Source organism: Homo sapiens, chromosome 2 (genome assembly GCF_000001405.40).
Source record: "Homo sapiens chromosome 2, GRCh38.p14 Primary Assembly".
NCBI classification, from domain to species: Eukaryota; Metazoa; Chordata; class Mammalia; order Primates; family Hominidae; genus Homo; species Homo sapiens.
Window position 1 is genome coordinate 105,281,967 of NC_000002.12, and position 19,200 is coordinate 105,301,166.

The 19,200-nt window shown below is 43.3% G+C and overlaps 1 protein-coding gene across 3 annotated transcripts in view; it reads right to left on the reverse strand.

Annotated features, from left to right (window-relative positions):
* The window catches only part of TGFBRAP1 (transforming growth factor beta receptor associated protein 1), an 80,332-nt gene that overhangs the window by 32,563 nt on the left and 28,569 nt on the right, over positions 1-19,200 (reverse strand). For all 3 annotated transcript variants that reach the window (NM_001328646.3, NM_001142621.3, NM_004257.6), the window contains exons 3-5: positions 16,545-16,739; positions 14,390-14,544; positions 2,350-2,432 (exon numbers count right to left, since the gene is read on the reverse strand). In NM_001328646.3, coding sequence (NP_001315575.1) covers positions 2,350-2,432; positions 14,390-14,544; positions 16,545-16,739 — 433 coding nt within the window. The remainder of the gene's footprint in view (positions 1-2,349; positions 2,433-14,389; positions 14,545-16,544; positions 16,740-19,200) is intronic.

Here is a 19,200-nt window from a genome sequence, read left to right on the forward strand (position 1 = left end):
AGAATTATCTGGCTCAAAACGTCTACAGTGCCACAGCTGAGAATCCCTGACCTAAAGTACAATTCTTGATTTGAGAAATTTCTGCTCATTGTTTAAGATCCAGGACGAATCCAGGGAAGATTCCTCCACTGGCTGATGTGAGCCCATGCAACGCTCCCACAGCAGAGCAGCACCTGTGCTGCAGGAAAGGCACACATCCAGTTTCCAAGCTAGAATGGGCATGCCAGAGAAGCAGGCACTGGGTTACCCTTCCATCCATTGCTCAGATGCTCAGGCCACGTTTGCTGAATGAAAGAAGAGCTGAACCTAGCTGATACAACGACAGGGTGCAGGTGGTCTAAAGGAAGAGACACAGAGCCCACATCCCCAGGTTATGTATGATCAATTTTCTCTTAAGTTTCAACCATAACTAGCTGGTAACTGTGGCCTCCGGCACGGCACTGAGGAGTCAGAGGACGGGTCCAGTTCAACGAGGAAAAGAAAATCACAATTTATTAGCAACATTTGCTGTGAGCACAGAAAAGGAAGTGGAATCATCTTTGTCTTAGAAGTATCTTCTTCAAATATCAATTCTCAGGCTGGGCCTAGTGGCTCATGGCTGTGATCTCACCACTTTGGGAGGCTGGGGCAAGAGGATGACTTGAGGCCACGAGTTTGAGACCAGCCTGGGCAACACAATAAGATCCCATCTCTACAAAAAATAAAAGATTAGCCAGGTCCCGTGGTGGCATACACCTGAAGTCCTAGCTACTCAGGGGTCTGAGGCAGGAAGATCATTGAGCCCAGAAGGTCGAGGCTGCGGTGAGCTATGATTGCACCACTGCACTCCAGCCTGGGAGACAGAATGAGATGCTGCTTCAAAACGAAAAAAAAAAAAAAAATCCGTTCTCTCAGCCACACTTTGGACCAAAGACGAGCAGCAATTTAAAGTTAAGCCATTAAGAGAGTGAGGTGCGGAAGTACAGGAATGTCATCCTAATAACAGGCCCCACATCTATTCTCTTACAAAATCCGAGGACTCTTCTAGGAATCCATCTGTGGACAATCACCTAATGTTTCAGATTAACCCATAAGAGAAAGAAGACACCTTGGGATACACCCATGACCCCGGTGAGGAGGTCTTCAACACTGTAGGGCTAACACAAGATACGGCAGAAAAGAGCCTAGGTCCAAAGGGGCAAAAAACTGACTTAAACCCTGAAGCCACGGGTCTTTCCAAGAACAGAGAACAGCATGTAAGAGTTGTACAAGAAAAAGTTATATGGGGCATCATTATTCAAGGAATGATTCCTCCTTTACTTAGAAATCCATTCTCTACAACCGATTGTGTAACTGTAATCATTTTCAGTAATGCCATTCTTCAAATATCCAGCATAGAGTGAAAGATTAGAGCCACCGTGGATGTAAGGACGTGGCTGGTCATGGGCAGACCTCCTACAGAACAGGCAAGGGAGGCATTCTGCTCAAGTCACTACTTGGATGAAAATATCTATTCAGGGGCTTCCTATACATGTTATTTCTTAGATAGCTGTAAACTGTGCACAATCTATTCTGGAGAGACATTTTGAGAACTTACTCTAAAGGCAGTGCCTGAGTACGATATTTCAAGACTCTCATAGCAGGTCTAACTTAATCTTCTGCAAAGAGTGCTGAGCAAGGCCTGGGATGGCTAACTCCTGCCTCACTGAGCACTCAGCTGTGGGACAAGGGCAGCTGGAGGTGGCATGACAGCAAGGCGTGCCTGTAAGGCAGGTGTGGCGGGCAGGGGAAAGGGGAGAACACAATCAACAGCCCACAAGCACATCCGACAAGCACAAGAGTAATCACAGTGCCAGAAGGGACCTCCTTAAGAGAAACTCAACTTTCTGAGAGCTGACCAGGAATAGAACATTTAGAAAGTCTTTAGAGGATGACAGAAAGTTTCATAAGTCTTCCCAGAAGCACTGTCTTTTCCCCCCTGCACTAAGCTCATAGCTTCTTGTAAAAACACTGGAGAGAAGCAAGAATGAACCAAAGCACTTTCCTAGGGGTCCTTTGCGTGCTATCAGATCCGCTCTTTAGAATTTTCTCCTGGCAAAACAATCTCGATGCCTCCACAGGACTAGTGTCTGTGCCCTTTGTCTGCTCCCACTCTAAGACATAGGCCAGTTAAATTAAGGCTCCGGGTGAGGGGTGACGCTGAGGAACCAGCATTGGCGGGGTCTGCTGTCACGAGCTACCCCCACCGTATCCACCTGAAGCACAATCTAACCATGCAACACATCCCACCGCGACGTCACACCAGAAACGCAGGTTCTGGCCACAGAGGGACACTGTAGTGGCAGTCTTGCTACCAGCACCTCAAATTACCTGAAGAGCTCTTTAGCTTCCAGGAACTGAAGTTGTGCAAACTGTATAAATCCCGCCTGCTGCAGAATCCTTCTGTACATTACCTGCAAGGAAAGACGGGTGTAATCTCTTAGTGAATCTTGAAACCATCACGGCAGGGTTAAATTTGTCTAACCCTAGATAAGTGTTCGTTATAACATAGAAATGTAAAATTACAAGCTGAGGAAAAAACAAGGTGCATATGAAATTATATGTATCTGTCTCTTTATGGTTTTATTTTTGTAATTCCCCAATCTTTCCCAAATGCACGTCTTGATCTCCAATACTCCTCCTCATTAACTCACAGGGCTTCAACGAGTCCCTGTACTTGTGATTGCTGAGATGGATATCAACAACCCTGGTGTTTCTGGCAGTCCAGGAACCGCCTGGCCTTCTTCCACTCTTCTGGAATTGAACTCACAGTACCACCTTTCAGAGCATCCCTCAGAGCACAGGGCCGACTCATTTCATAATGAAACAGACAAACACCCAGGCTTTCTTAGTCAGAGATGCAGAAATGCTGCATGTTCCATCTCCTGCTGGTGACGTCCAACCCACATGAACACACCAACATCCGACACTCCTGCAATAAAGGGGCCAGTTTATCTTGTTTACTCCACTATGACCCACATTTCCATGACCACTTTGTTCTTGTTACATCCAGCAATAGCAAAATGCACATTAGGAACCTGCTGTGTGGTGTCTCTGATCCCACGCCCCACTCCGTCACCGTCCAGCATGGCTGGTGTCCTCGTCTTGCCATTGTCTATATGAAATGGCTCCTGGACATGTTTCTTCACTCTGTTCCTACAGATGCCAACACCATAGCCCAGGCTCTAATCGCCTCATGAGTAAAGACTGTGTTTTAATTACTCTCTCTGACTTTGACACCTCCTCCTTCTAACTCATCCTTCCATTTGACAGCCACACATTTTGTGAAGGCACGGCAAATACATCACTCACCTAGCGTCTCCCACTACTAGCCATGTGTCTGCCATTCAGTCGGTGCTTACTGATCAACTCTCTGATCCATTTGTATGAAACTCCACTTCCATTGTCACTCACTATCCCCATCTTACAGGTACAAAAACTCTGCCCAGAGATGCTACGTTTTTAGACCCAACTTACTAAAGTAAGAATTGTTGGACCATGATTTAAAACCAGGCCTTTCTGATTCTAGAGGCCAGATCTTTCCACTCACTGATTCCTCCAGGTACACAGCAGGCAGCTGGTGTGTTACCCACTGAAGGTACAACAGAAGTGGAACCTCGGTGTTGAAATGCTATCAACCCTGTTCTCTCAAATTACCTTTCAAAGGGCTTTCACTCAGCACCATAAGACAGGGTGGAAGAAAAAAAAGCTTTCACTACACAGTAGTTTTAAAGGACTCTCAGAAGCATAGCAACCATTCCTCACCTACTTCCAGTAGAAATCCCTTTAGAGATGTCAGACAAAGCAGGCTGCTTAAACCTTTCAGTTTTCCCTTTACCATCAGTCTTTAATTTTCTTCACTGAAACCAGCCATTTCTGACCTAAAGACCAAATCAATTATACCACCCAACAATAAGCAAAAGGGAGCAAGGCAACGTTCTGTTGCCTGGGAATGCCAGTAACATTTCTGAAAGCAGAAATACTAGAGGCCAGCCACTTAGCAAAAGGGATGCAAAGGACCCATCAGCTGCAGTAGAAGAATTCTCAATCACACCCAGGCTTGTTGAGGAGAAATCAGAACGGCAATTTATTCCTTATGGCGGTAGGATTCAAATGGCATCCGCTCTTCCTCTATCTGCAGGGAAATGGAAATTACTCCTGTGGACATTCCAAATCTCCAAGAATAAGGGGTTATTTTCTATAATCTAGTCTGGGAATGCTACATGCACACTTGGAAGGGGAATGCAAAGAGGTTCTTCATCCTGGATGTAAGCATCATGGATGCTGAAGCCCAGGATGATACAGAGAACACCGTCAGATTCCACCTAAAAATGCCTGATCAGAAATTTTACCAAGCATGGCCAATTCTTGGTTCTCTGAAGGTGACGGTCTCATTTCCAAACTGTCTACTACGATCAATGCCTCCTCCTGCCCTCTGCTCAGATGATCCTGAGCTATAAAACCTGGAGCCAGGTAGGCTGTCAGGGAAAAGACGAAAAGGATGAGTACATACGAAGGACAGAGAACAAGAAAGTCCATTTATCTCCAGAGCTAACTCATCAGTGGATGCTCCAAGTTTCTTTTTTCATTATCAGCTCATCCTTCATTATAAGGCAGTGGTGCAAATTGCCAGGTGAAGAGAGTAAGTCAGCAAACTAGCCCTCTAAGGAGCCACTCTATGTCTACTCTGTACAGAGGCTACAGGCCAAACACCTGGCTTCCGGCAGGCTTAAGAGGCTGCATGGATTCTGGAAGCAAGTTGAAACTGAAGTCAAAATCCTTATTATCAGTATTATATTTCTGAACTGAGATTTCTAACATTTGTGATTTGGGGAATTGAAAGAAGATTCTAATCTAAAGACTTCTAAACCTGTTTCCAAGGCTGCATTGTCCAAGTTAAACATAACACAAGCGCTTCTGGAGAGAACAGTTCTTCTAAGCACTTAATTCAAAGGGCAGCTTCTCTCATGGCTCTTTACTATGCACTGCCTAACAAAATACACCTTTCTAACTAATGGAATGCTACTCAGTCTTAAAAAGGAAGGGAGTTCCAACACAGGCTGCAACACAGATGAACGTTGAGGACAACGTGCTCAGTGAAGTCAGCCAGTCACAAGACAAATACTGTATGATTCCCCGGATGCGAGGTCCCTAGTGCAGTCAGATTCATAGAGACAGAAAGCAGAATGGGGGCTGCCAAGGGCTGGTGGGGGTGTAGGGTGGGGAGGTGGGGAGTTAGTGTTCGGTAGCACAGCGTTTCTGCCTGGGAAGATGAAAGGTCTGGAGATGGTGGGTGGTGACGGCTGCACAGCATGGTGAATACACTCAATGCCACAGAACTACACACTTAAAAATAGTTAAAATGGTAAAATTTATGTTATGTATATTTTACCACATTACAAAAAAAATAACTTCTCCAGGTAGATTTTTTTCCTTTACTGAATTTTGGTAGTAGCCAAAGGCTTCTCATGTCTGTGGTGATCTGTGGTGGAGGCTGAGGTGAAACGCTCTAAAATCAGAATGTGTGGGTCTGAGTGCAGGCTCTGCTTGTCATTAGCTGTGTGGCCCTGGGTGGGTTATTCTATCCCTCCACGCTGCATCTTCATCTTTATACAGGGAGCAGAACCGTGCAACCTCAGAGTTGGGGTGAGGATTAAGAGAGTGCAGCTGGGTGTGGCCGTCACAACAGTGCCTGGCATGCAGTAAGCACACAATAAATGTTGTCTGTCTCTTCAGGCTGAGTCTGTAATTAGCACTCCTAACTAATCCCAGGCTTTAACTTTTTCCATCACCTTCCAGGTCTATCTGCTTGATTCTGTCACATCTCTGTGAGTAATGGAGGGAGGTGGATAAATCCTTTTTTAATGAAAGAAAGACTTGAAGAAAATCAGATTTTAAAAGGAAACTTCCTACAAGCACCTGGAACAACCACACGATGGCAGCACCGACACCTTCACGTGACAAAAGCCAGTTCCTCAAACATGGGGCCTCAGGTGGCTACACCAACTCCTAGGCCAAATGTGATACAAAAACGCATCAAGTGGTGAGGCGTGGATAAGGAATATAATGGAGTCATTTACTGCAACTCAGAAAGATATTTTCTTTCAAGTCTGTAAAAACTGGGTAGGTCAAATGTGAGCTCAGACTAGAATATTTTTCACAGCTATAGTAAGAATTTTTTGAGAAAGATGACAACCACAACCAAATGAGTCTGCAAATATCACAGCAGGACACACACCATGTAAACCCTGGAGCTGAGGGAAGATGAACAGGCACACGGGGACGACACAGACCCCTGAGCCAGTGCACCCCTGAGCCAGTGCTGAGGACAGCACGAGCAGGCTGCCTCTCCCCTTCCTGAGCTCTCGGCTCTCCAGGGCTCTCGGCTATGGCTAATTCAGGGACAGGATGGGGCTAAGAGGCAGTGGGTCACCCTGGCTAGATTATACGATCAACTGCAGACCTGGAGAAGGGAAACTGGCAAACACAGTTGTTGCCAGCCAGCTACCAAAGCGCAGAGGACAGTCTACTCCTGGCATGGGGCAGACCACTGAGATTTATGTTATAATGCCCCATAACATGGAGAATATAACAGGAATATATGAGACATAAGTATCATTCTTGTAAGTACAGCTAAATTCTAAACAAAAATTGGCATGAGTGTTACCATTTTAACTATATTCATACCAACCCCTTTTTTTAACTTATTAAAAAACCATGTAAGTTATTGTCTAAACAGAAACATCTTTCCCGAAATATATTAGGTGGAACATGAGGACCATGGCATTCTCCTTGTTAAAAAGGCAATGTGTCCTGATTGAATAAATTTGTAAACAGGTGTGCATGTATATGTGTATATATATCCCTTTGTGAGGGTGCACAGAAAGACAATAAAAATATAATAATATATGATATATACCCTCTTGGGGAATCACAATAAGTGTTAGAATATTAGAGGCTCTGAAAAAACCTTCAATTAAGAAGCCCAATTAACTTAGCCTTCCAAAATAGAATCTTCTTCCCACCCTGCACCTGTTACTGTCCCTGCACATGTGTTTGGTGAAACAAACTGGAAAGCCTTGATTCAGAAGGAAGCCTGCAATGGACACATTCAAAGCACAAAAGGTGGTCAATTCCAAACATGGGAATGGGGAAGGGACGCAGCGAGGTGGTGGCAAGAAAAGAGGGAGAGCACACATAAGCAAAATTTACAAAAAAAAAAGTGGGGGGGTGCCAAACTCTCTTGGGAAGGATATACACAAAAAATTGCAACACTGGTGACTTAGAGAGAAAAATGATGTGCTAAGGAAGAAAAAGGGACTTGCCATTTGATTTTTCTTTTAACCACATGCATGTATTTTTTTCTCCTGTACTTTTCAAAATTCCTAAGTAATATATTCAATATGGCTCAAATTTTGAGGCATTGAAAACGGATACAGTGAGCCCTCTCATTCCTGTCCCTGCCAGCAGATGCCCTCCAGAAGGAATCAGTGCTATTAATTTCTTGGGTAGCCTTCCAGAGATATGTTATGTATTGAGGAGCAAATACTTTTATGCCATTTTAATAGTGGTAGCATGTTATGCAGGCTCACTTGCACTCTGTGTAACTTGTTCTACCTTAATGCTATGTGTTAAGCCCTACAGGCCTCGAAACTCTTCCTGGCTGCACAGCGCTGCAGCACCCCTCTGGGCCATAATACATTTAATCATGCCCCACTGGCAGCCTCTAGGTGTTGTGGTTGTTGCTTTTTAACAAACAATAATCGAGTGAAAAGTTTTCTACATTTGTTATTTCGAATTTCAGTGATCAGATCTGTAAAATACACTTCTGAGTATAGAATTGTAAGTTTTAATGTTGACAGATATTCTTGAATTGCCCTCCCAAGAGGCTGTATCAATTTAAATTATTACAGGACACCTGAAAGTGTCCATTTCCCCACTTTCACCAATACGGTATTATCAAACTCTCTGATCTCTGATAATCTAAGGAATGAAAAATGTATTGGTGTATTCTTATTGTGCATACCGCTATATGAGACAAAAAGCATCTTTTCATACATTTATTAGATAGGCAATTCTTTTTTTGTTGTTGTTGAGACAGTCTTGCTCTGTTGCCCAGGCTGGAGTCCAGTGGTGCAGTGGCACAATCTTGGCTCACTACAACCTCCGCCTCACGGGTTCAAGTGATTCTTGTGCCACAGCCTCCTGCGTAGCTGGAATTACAGGTGCATGCCATCATGCTCAACTAATTTTTGTATTTTTAGTAGAGATGGGGTTTCACCATGCTGGTCAGGCTGGTCTGGAACTCATGACCTCAAGTGATCCTCCTGTCTCAGCCTCCCAAAGTGCTGGGATTAGAGGCGTGAGTCGCTGCACCTGGCCAGCAATTTCATTTTCTATAAAATGTGTTCATATTCATTTTTCTATTGGGCTATTCATATTTCTTTCATATAGCCCAAGGAATTCTTCAGATATTAGAGAAATTAGCCCTCTTTTTGTGCTGCAAACTATAAATATTTTTCCTAATGTGCTATTTTTCTTGAATTTGTTTATAGGTTTTGCCATGCAGGATGTGTATATGAGAGAAAGACAGAGAGAGAGAAAGAGAGAGAAAGAGAGAAACAGAGAGACAGTGTGTGTGTGTGTGTGTGTGTGTGTGTGTGTGTGTGTGTGTGAATTTAAGTTTTCTTTGTGGATTCTGGGTTTTCAAATAAATTATTTTAAAATGTTCCAAAACCAGCTGGGCAAGGTGGCTCACACCTGTAGTCCTAGCACTTTGGGAGGCCAGGATCGGCAGATCACCTGAGGTCAGGAGTTCGAGACCAGCCTAGCCAACATGGTGAAACCTCATCTCTACTGAAAATACAAAAAATTAGCCAGGTGTCATGGCACGTGCCTGTAATCCCAACTACTCGGGAGGCTGAGGCAGGAGAATCCCTTGAACGCGGGAGGTGGAGGTTGCAGTGATTGCGAGATTGCGCCACTGCACTCCAGCCTGGGTGACAGAGAGAGACTCCAACTCAAAAAAATAAATCAATAAAATTTTCTAAAACCAAGGTATCTGGGAAGGTGGTGGCTGTTACGGACGGAATGCTTGTGTCTGTGTCTCCCTAAAATTCCTATGTTGAAACTATTCCCCTGAGGGTATTAGGAGGTGTAGTCTTGGGGAGGTAATTAGGATTACATGAGGTCATGAGGGTGGAGCCCTCATGAATGGGATCTGAGTAGTGCCCTTATACTAATCCTGAGAGAGCTTGCTTCTGTCTCTGCCACGTGAAGACAGAGAAGACAACCATCATGAATCAGGAAGCTGGCCATCCCCAGACTCCAAACGTACAGACACCTGGATCTTGGCCTCCAGAACTGAGAAATAAATGTTCCTTGTTGAGGTCACCCAGTTTACAGTATTCTGTTCCAGCAATCTGAGATGACTAAGAAAGTAGAGGTGTAGTTTTTTAATCTCTCAGTCTCCTCTGAAAAGAGAGAGAATGATTGGTTCATAACAGCACTACTCACCACAGCCTAAGGTGGTAGCAACTTATTCATCGACAGATGAATAAGTAAACAAAATGTGGTAGGTACATACAATGGAATATTATTCGGCCTTAAAAAGGAAGAAGATTCTTCCATGCTGCAACATGGATGAAGCCTGAGGACATTATGCTAAGAGAAATAAGCCAGTCACAGAAGGACAAATATTGTATGACTTCACTTATGTGAGATTCCTAGAGTAGTCAAATTCATAGAGACAGAAGTGGAAGTGGGGATTGCCTGGGCCGGGTGCGGAGGGAATGGGTGGGCATACAGTGGGAAGTGGGAGGTGATTTTGCAGGCTCCAGTTTGCCATGTGTGCCAACATGGAGAAATTTGACATAAAAGAAATTTGTATGCTTTGAGCCTCTAAGCAAAAAGATCAAGTCACTACAAGGGAAAGAAATCCAGATTGTCATCAGATTTTTCACTGCAATTCTATCATGGTAGAACATATTTAAGTTCCTCACTGAAAGATGAGTGGAGGATTTTGTCTCCAGCCAAACTGGCCCTCAAGTATAAAGGCTGCAATGAACTGTCACTGTCATCAACAAGCACAAACTCAAGAGACAGTGTCCCCATATTCCCATTGTGAAATATCTACCATAGGACTGCTTTAGAAAACCAAAATGACTGGAAAGACATCAACAGAAAATTCAATGGTGAGCATTCCACACATATTTGTCCACAGAACTAAGAAACCAAATAGCATGTGGAAGGCTCGATGCTCTGAAAAAGTACAGACAATATAACCATCAAAAAATAGGGAAGAATGAGAGATTATACAAAAAAGACAAGATGCTTGCTGACTGCCTTCCGGGTATCAGCTGGGAATTGAGGGCTATTCCTCCAAAGCAGATGCTGAGGAACACAGGGGAAGAGTGACGAAGATGTTACTGGCTAATTTCAAACACAGCTCCAAGTGGGGAAGCAACAGACAATAGAAACCCTCCCAAAAAAGAGAACATAAAGGAATTTTATAAGATGAATAATATCAAGGTAATCATTAAAACAAAAAATACAACACAAACATTCACATCAAAAGGCAGAGAAGAAGGGAGGCAGAGAGAGAGACACAGAGGGACAGTGGGAAGGGAAAGAAAGAACGAGGCGGGTAGAAAGGTGGGAGGGGGAGAGGGAGAAGGAGGGAGAGAGAGAGAGAAAGAATATATGCAAATAAAACAGACCAGACAGTAAAAGGGGGGAGGCAGTGAACAGAGTGAAGGAGAGAAACTGAGTTTAGACTTCTTTGAATATACTTTGTTTTACTGATTTGACTTTTGAGCTATGTAAATATTTTATAAAATTATAAAACAAATTAAATTTTAAAAAGCAATCCCCAAAAAACCAAAAGTCAAATGAAACAAATGAACCTAACTACATATGTAAGAGTTGGTGGCAGAACCACACAGAGGAGAACTATCCCATGTGACATTAAAACAGTAATTTGAGTGTACAGGCTAGCGAGATTTTTCCCTAAGGATTAAAAAAAAAAAGCAAAAACATTCACTGGACGAGTTTGGAAATATGAGCACTGACCAGATACCCAGCACACAAAGGAATCAGTGCTGATATGGGGGAATGACGACAATGGTACTGCGGTTACATTTCAAAGGGGGCATCCGTGCTTTTAGAGACATGTATTGAAATGTTTTTAGATGAAATGGAAAAAAAAATCTATCGGAGCCCAAGCTTAAATATAAACACCATCCATATTATGTGACAGAAATCAGGTAATATTTTGTGTGTGTGACACAAATCTTTGTCTATAAAGCAAGATGTCCCTTTACTGTCTCTTATTTTAAATACAGCATTCTAAACTGTAATATAATTTAAGGCTTGCTTTCTAAAGTTCTGAACAACCCTTTTGGATCTCCTGAAGAAACGATCCTTAATCCCAGCCCCACAGTCAAACTTCTTGACAAACCCCTTGCTAATTCAGAACTCAGAGAAGCGAAACCAGCCCTTGCTTTAAATGAAGGGAAAGGAGTGCAATGGTGAAGAAGTCTACTGAGCTCAAGCTTCTCATCCTCTCCCTTCCTGGTTTCTCTAAGCTTAGGGTCTAGCATGTGGTCACAAACACTCTAAGACTAAAAGAAGCAATGTAGTTAACCATATGAGCTGAATATAATCCTTTAAAACATACACATTTATGAAAAGTCATTTCTAAACCTTTTTTTTGCATCAATATTGTTTTATTGTTTAAGGTTTCTATTTCAAACAAAAACCCCGTGCTGCCAATCCATTATATCACAGCTCTGCTGGAAGGCCAGTTGGAAGCTCTGAATTACTCATTCATTCTTTCCTTGGTATTAAAAGGGAAGAACCTACCCAGGACCTAGGGGAGGGAGAAGTATGGCGCTGAGGGGTGACATGATAAATGGTATGGGCCACAAATCGCAGGTGCATGAGGTAAGAAGTCTTTAGCTCTGCCCAGAGGAAAGGGAAGGCTTAGTGAAGAGGAGATATTTATGCGAGGTATCAAAACTATTTTTTCGAGTAGAGAAGTACCCTCCAGTAATTGCAGGGTAAAGGGCCCTGTGGGAAGCGCCAGCCTGACTTAGCCAGCCTGATGCCCAGAGGCATGGCTGATCTGCCATGTCTTGTCTGTGAAATGAGGACAATTGTACCAGTCATTACCGAATTCTTTTGAGGGTTAAAACAACAAATGTTTTTAAATGCCTTGAAGCGTTCCTGACATACTATCCGGCTCACTGGTTGTTTGTTCTCTTTGTCTTCCACCCTTTGAGGCAGAAATGTAGAATGTAGGCATGTGCTTCATAGGAGTGAGGGTGTGTGTGTGTGTGTGTGTGTGTGTGTGTAAAAGACAAGGAGGCCACAGAAGAGGGTGGGGTCAGCCATGCTTCAAGGTTGTGGACTTGACCTGGGCAACGAGATGCCCCCTAAAGTATTTTAAGCAAAGGACTCGGTCCGTAATGGAAAAAGATCATTTCCATATAGTTGCATGGATGATGGACTGCAATCACACAAGGAGGCTGTTAAAAACGTGGGCAAAAGTGAGCATGGTCTGAATACCAGCAGTAACAGTGGGAACTGAGAATAATGGGTGAACTCGAGATAATTCTGAAGGTGTATTTCCAGGGCTGGAGATAGGAGCTTGCAGTAATACAGGGAGAAGCGGGAAGCAGGTTAGAAAAGAAACAAACAAACAAAAAAACCCTGAGATACCAGATTGGAGAACAAGATGACTAATATTTTCTAATACTGACTGTGTAGCTCTACCCTGGCAAAAAGCATAGGGAAGAAAAGAGCAAAAATCAGATACACAGCATTGAAAGCCTCTGTAAGAAAATGCTACACGCTTAAAATGTGCACATGGTGTGTGTGCAAGAAGGGAATACTCCACAGTGGCAGCTGGAAAACCTTGGAATGTGGCCCCCCTGGACTTCCACACATCCACCGAGAGCAGCTTGCAGGAGAGGAGAAGGGGCTGAGAGCACATGCGGCAGTGGCAGGCCTGGGACTGGCGATCTGCCTCTGGTCTGCACCCTCCCCTCCAGGGCACAAGAAGCTCAGCAGCTTTCTTCTTTTTGCCTTTGCTGCCCCCTGCTGAATGCTAGTAGATCAGTCTTACTCAAAAGTTAGCAACAAAGATGAAAACTTTATCAACGTTTAAATGTAGAAAAGAGGTCCTGCTCACCTTCACAGCCCACAACCATAAATCACACAACCTGTCTTCTTTCATTTTCAGAATCTACCCTTTTCTGCATAAAGCACCTGAGGCCAAAGAACATATCATTCCACAACAATTACACTGTCTTCTCTAAAATCTGACCAATATTAAGAACTTTTTCATTATTAATTTAGATATTCATACAAAGCACACATACATAGCAATATTATGTTTTGTTCCCCTCAAATATGGAATAACCTGTACAACCTAATAACTCATCAAGTAACAGTTTTTAGGAGACCCGATTTATATCAATTGCATTTATTATACCAAATTATATTTAAAATGAGTGTTTCTTAAGTGCATTAAAAATGTTCTCCTGGCCGGGCACGGTGGCTCACGCCTGTAATCTCAGCACTTTGGGAGGCGGAGGCGGGTGGATCACGAGGTCAAGGGATCGAGACCATCCTGGCCAACATGGTGAAACCCCATCTCTATTAAAAATACAAAAATTTGCTGGGTGTGGTGGCGGGCGCCTGTATTCCCAGCTACTCGGGAGGCTGAGGCAGGAGAATCGCTTGAACTCGGGAGGCAGAGGTTGCAGTGAGCCGAGATCGCGTCACTGCACTCCAGCCTGTCGACAGAGCGAGACTCCATCTCAAAAAAAAAAAAAAAAAAAAAAAGTTCTCCTAAGGAAATCAACTAGATGGGGTTCCTACAATACCAATTTAGTTAGCAAAATGGTTATCAATATGTTTAGTAAAGCTTTTCCTACAGATGATAGAAATCTAAACTTTAATTCAACCCCTTCCTGACAAATACAAATTCTAAATTCAGAGACAAATTAACCTGACCTCACTCTTTTGCTTTATAAGAACTATGTTATTGATCCTTCTCTGAAGGTCCACGGAAGAGGAAAGTTGATTAGAAATACAAGCCTATATCTAAAATAGCAGAATTAAGTCACAAGTTAGAAGCCTGACTTCTCCACTCTTGGCAGTGCCTTCTCAGTCACAAGCTGTTTGACCGCCCTAAAGCCTGTTTCCTTATCTACACAATATGTATTTGTTGAGAAAATTAAACAACAGATATAAAAGCAGTGTGTACAGCCCGGTACACAGGAAGGGCCGATGCATGTTAGTTAAATCTGAATGTCCTCTAACTGGTGACTTAGAGGCATATTTCTGTGACCAGTTAATTACAAACCTGAAATTTTTCCTTTGGAATGTTCCTCCGGGCTCCTTTTGCTAAAACCAAAGCCTCTTCTACTCTGCGGCTTGCTAGAAGATCCTGTATTTGTTTTTCCAAAGGTAATGGAACCAAGATGTAAACTCCTTTACTTGTGGCAACGATCACTCTTCCTGTGAAGAAATTCAGCATTGTTGGAAAGAGAAAAAACACACTGCCTGCAAAAAAACACACTGCTTTCCCCAAACTGGATCATTACCTGATTTGTTCAACAACTTCACCATAGTTTTCTCAAAGGAATTCCTACAAAAATTATAAATTATAATGCTTTTCTTTTTCCCACACTGTCAACTGTCAGAAAAGGGCAAACTCTTACTATGACATTTCCAAAGAATAATATCTTGCTTTCTTTTTTTGCCTTTTTTTTTTTTTTTTTTTTTTTTTTTACTGAGAAATGCTGGTAAATGTAAAATCAGTGTAGTAAACGCATAATACATAGTCCAGTGAAGATGCAGAGTTCAATCAGGGAACATTATCAATAAGAATACACAACATTTTTAAAACATTCTTTTCCCTCCAAGTTAGTTTATATAAAATTAAAATTTTAATGTGATATTTTGAAGCATGAGATAATATTTCATGCTCATCTGCCAACCAAAAATACCTCCAAAGTCTTGCCATTAATGTATTCATCTCCCCACAATCCTGCAAGTTAACCTGGCCCATGGTCAACACTGCCATCCTCATTTTACCTGTGAGCCCCTCCACAGGTAGTCTGTGGAAGAGTCAGAACTGCAGTCCAAGACTAGCTCCTACTACTAAGCTTCCAGATTAAAACTGGCTCCCTTCTGCAGAAACTTTCAGCTAAGCACCACCTGTTCATAGGAAACAATCTAACTCTTTCTGTCTTCTGTATCACAACTAAGGCAGTTTTTCTCATTCTCAAATGACATTCTGTCCCTGCTCTGCCTGGAGTCACTTTTCCCAGGAAGCCTCCCTGTGTTCTCACCCTGGGCCTGTTACATCATCCTTCTCTGTGTGTCCACCACACCCTGAGCCCGACTCTACCACTCAACAGGCACCGCACCACAACACTGCTCTGTGTGTGACCCCAGCGCATGCGCCAGAGCCCCACCGGAATTAGCCCACTTAATGGCAGGAACTGTGAGTCTTCTTATCTCCTATAAGCATCTATAAGACAGCACTTGGCACAGCAAGGGTAATGTTTGGTGAACAAAAACCCTTAAGTGGCAAATGCGATGCATAAATCTAGATTCGTTCCTGGTTGGAAGAAAATATGATAAAAGCCATTCTTAGGTCAACTGGGGAAATCTGAATATTGGCAGGACATGAGATGGTATTGTAAATTAATGTGAATTTTTTTCAGGTGTGAAAATGGCATTGTGGTTTTGTAGGAAAATGCCCTTATTCTTGGGAGATATGTGTGGAAGAATTTTGGGATTAAATATCATGATATCTTCCTCGTACTTTCAAATGGCTCAGCAAAATGTTAACAAGCGTTGAATCTAGGTGAAAGGTTTCTGGTGGTTTACTTTGTCTCTCTTACCACTTTTCGGTCTGCTTCAAAGTGTTCAAAATAAAACTGAAGAAAAGTAGAGTAAATCCTTCAAGTGGCTCACCATACACACGAAATGAAGTCCCTCCTGCCTCCGCCACCCTGACTACCCTGGTCTGCTGCAGCCTCAGCTCACGCTGCCCCTTCAAACACACCATGCACTACAGTCACAGTGAGCTGCTTGAGTGGCCTGAAGCCCATAGTACCCTCTTGAACAGATTCGCATACACCTTTCTCTCTACCAGAAGGTTCTTACACACAACATCTGCTTGGCTGACTCCTATGCATCCTTAAAGGTTTGGCTAAAACAGCACCTCCTTCAGGAAGCCCTCCCTGATATCTCTAGGAAATACTTTCTCCTCTGCTCTCACAATGGGCCTTATTCCATCGTGATCAAGCTTTTATACTGCCATAGCTATTTGTTTAAATGTCTGTCTCCCCACTAACTGTGCAGCCCCTGAAGCACAGAGACTGTATTGGAGTCATCTGTGTATCTTTTATGCTTAGCGCAAGGCCCAGTTCCTAAATGATATTTACCGAAGAAATATCATAAAAGAGTTAAGTAAATTTCACTAAGACTTCTATGTGAATGAGTACCTTCAAAGTCCTGTAGGATATGGCCCTCCTTAAAGGGCAGCGTCTGCTTCTGTTGCTGATCCAACATGCTGTGGACTGTGATGAATTCGTCATCGAGCGCTATGACGTATGGAAAGGACACAGCCGCCCCAATCACATTCTCCGACCAGTGCACGGGGGCGCGCTGGGATATCCCTGCGACTGTGGCAAACATGCCTAGAAGTAAGAAGAAAGAGTTAGGTAGGCTTCCAAATAAGCATGGTGTCATTTTCCTGTAGCTATGTCTGGATGCAGACCGACCCCTGCCCACCAGCAATTTTCCTGTACAGTCTTATATTTCAAGGAAGGAAAAACAATATAATATGCTGTATGTGTGAAGAGCCCTACAGGAATTTATTTCTGTGAAGAGAACTACCTTACCCAGAATGTATATCTGATATTTACTTCCAATTAAAAATGAAGTTGTAATAATATTACCACAAACTTAGCAAAATAAAAAATAAAATAGGCCGGACGTGGTGGCTCACACCTGTAATCCCAACATGTTGGGAGACAGAGGCGGGCAGATGGTGCTTGAGCTCAGGAGTTCAAGACTAGCCTGGGCAACATGGCAAAACCTCACCCTTACAAAAAATATAAAAATTAGCCAGGTGTGGTGGTGCACATCTGTAGTCCCAGCTACTCGGGAGGCTAAGGTGGAAAGATCACTTGAGCCCTGAAGGTCAAGGCTGCAGTGAGCCGTGATCACGCCACTGTACTCCAGCCTGGGCGACAGAGTGAGAACCTGTCTAAAAATAAGTAAGTAAAATAAAATAAAAATGAGGTTAAAAATACATTTCCATATAAGCCACATGAAGATTGACAAAGCATGTGTCCTCACGTGAGGACAAAGTGACTTTCAAATAGGGCGTAATCCTGAGGATTCTGCTGAATTTCTGCTCAAGTAACATGCTCTAGACAGCACAGCTCTCATGGTCACATGGACACCAATAACATCGCCCAGCCTCACCCTGGAGGTCAAAGAGGGTCACTGCATTTACCTGCTTAAGGCTGAACATCGCCCAACCAGAGAACTATGCAGCACAGAGGCCCTGATGAATGTTTTTAAAATAAAAAGGGCAAGGACCTGGGGCAGTGGTGCGTGTCTATAATCCCAGCTACTTGGGAGGCTGACACAGGAAGATTGCTTGAGCCCAGAAGTTCAAAACCAGCCTGGGCAACATAGTGAGACCCCACCTCAAAATAAATAAATAAAGGGCAAAGGATGAGGAGTCAGTAACAAAGGCATCCACGCAAAAAGCAAAGCAAAGCTTTCACTAGAATAAAAAAGCAAGCAGTAACTGGCAAAAGAGGAGTCCAGGACAAGCACTAGGAGAAGCCTCGAAGCCCCACTTGGGAACAGAGGGGACTGTGATCAACACCCACAAACTAATTCTATTCTTGCCAAATAGGTGATAAAGTCTATTGTTTCTGTAGTGCTGCAGGAGTGCAACTGCTGTCAACAGGCACATGTAACAAATGTGTAAATGGCACACCTTTTAAAACCATTATTTTCAATCGTGTACCCTTTATGTTTCATCCACCCCCTTATCTAAGCTGGGAGAAGGAGAGGGAACCATGTGTGGTGAAGAGTAGCTGAATTATTTACCTTCTTCAAGAAGCACTGTCATAGGACAGGGTTTAAGACTATAAACCTCTGGTTTAAAGTCTGGTGGTTACTATGCTGAAGATAGAATCTGTATATAGGTACTGTGTGATAGGCGTTACAAGTAATCTTTCAATTTGCTTATAATTGTGCCAGTTACAAGCAGAACAAAACTTAAGAAGGTTGGTTCATTTAGCCAGATGCCCATGTAGCTGAGACACAGTGCATCATAAAGATTATTGACTATTATTTCCCATCAATCCTAACACTACAACCAACATAGGATAATGGAGTAAAATCTTTTTTTTTTTTTTTTTTTTCCGAGACAGTCTCGCTCTGTTGCCCAGGCTGGAGTGCAGTGGCACCATCTCGGCTCACTGCAACCTCTGCCTCCCGGGTTCAAGCGATTCTCCTGCCTCAGGCTCCTGAGTAGCTGGGATTACAGACATGCACCACCATGCCTGGCTAATTTTTGTATTGTTAGTAGAGACGGGGTTTCGCCACGTTGGCCAGGCTGGTCTCGAACTCCTGACCTCAGGTGATCTGCCTGCCTCGGCCTCCTGAAGTGTTGGGATTACTGGCATGAGCCACTGCGCCCAGCCTATCAAATCTTTATAACTAAAACAGTTAGGTATTGGCACGTGAATAGGCAAATGAACTGACAGAATAAAACAGAAAATCCAGAGACAGACCCAATACATTAGGAAATTTAGTGTACATTAAAGGCCATCATCAGTGAGGAAAAGATAGACTCTTTAATCAGTTTGTTAGGATAACTGGACAGCTATATAAAAAAGATAAAATTGAGGTTGGCCGCAGTGGCTCACACCTGTAACCTCAACACTTTGGGAGGCCAAGGCAGGCAGATCACTCCAGTCCAGGAGTTCAAGACCAGCCTGGGCCATGTGGTGAAACCCGGTTGCTACAAAAACTACAAAAATTAGCCAGCCTTGGTGGCGGGTACTATTCCCCAGCTACTAAGGGGAATGAGGCAGGAAGATCACTTGAACCGGGGAGGCGGAGGTTGCAGTG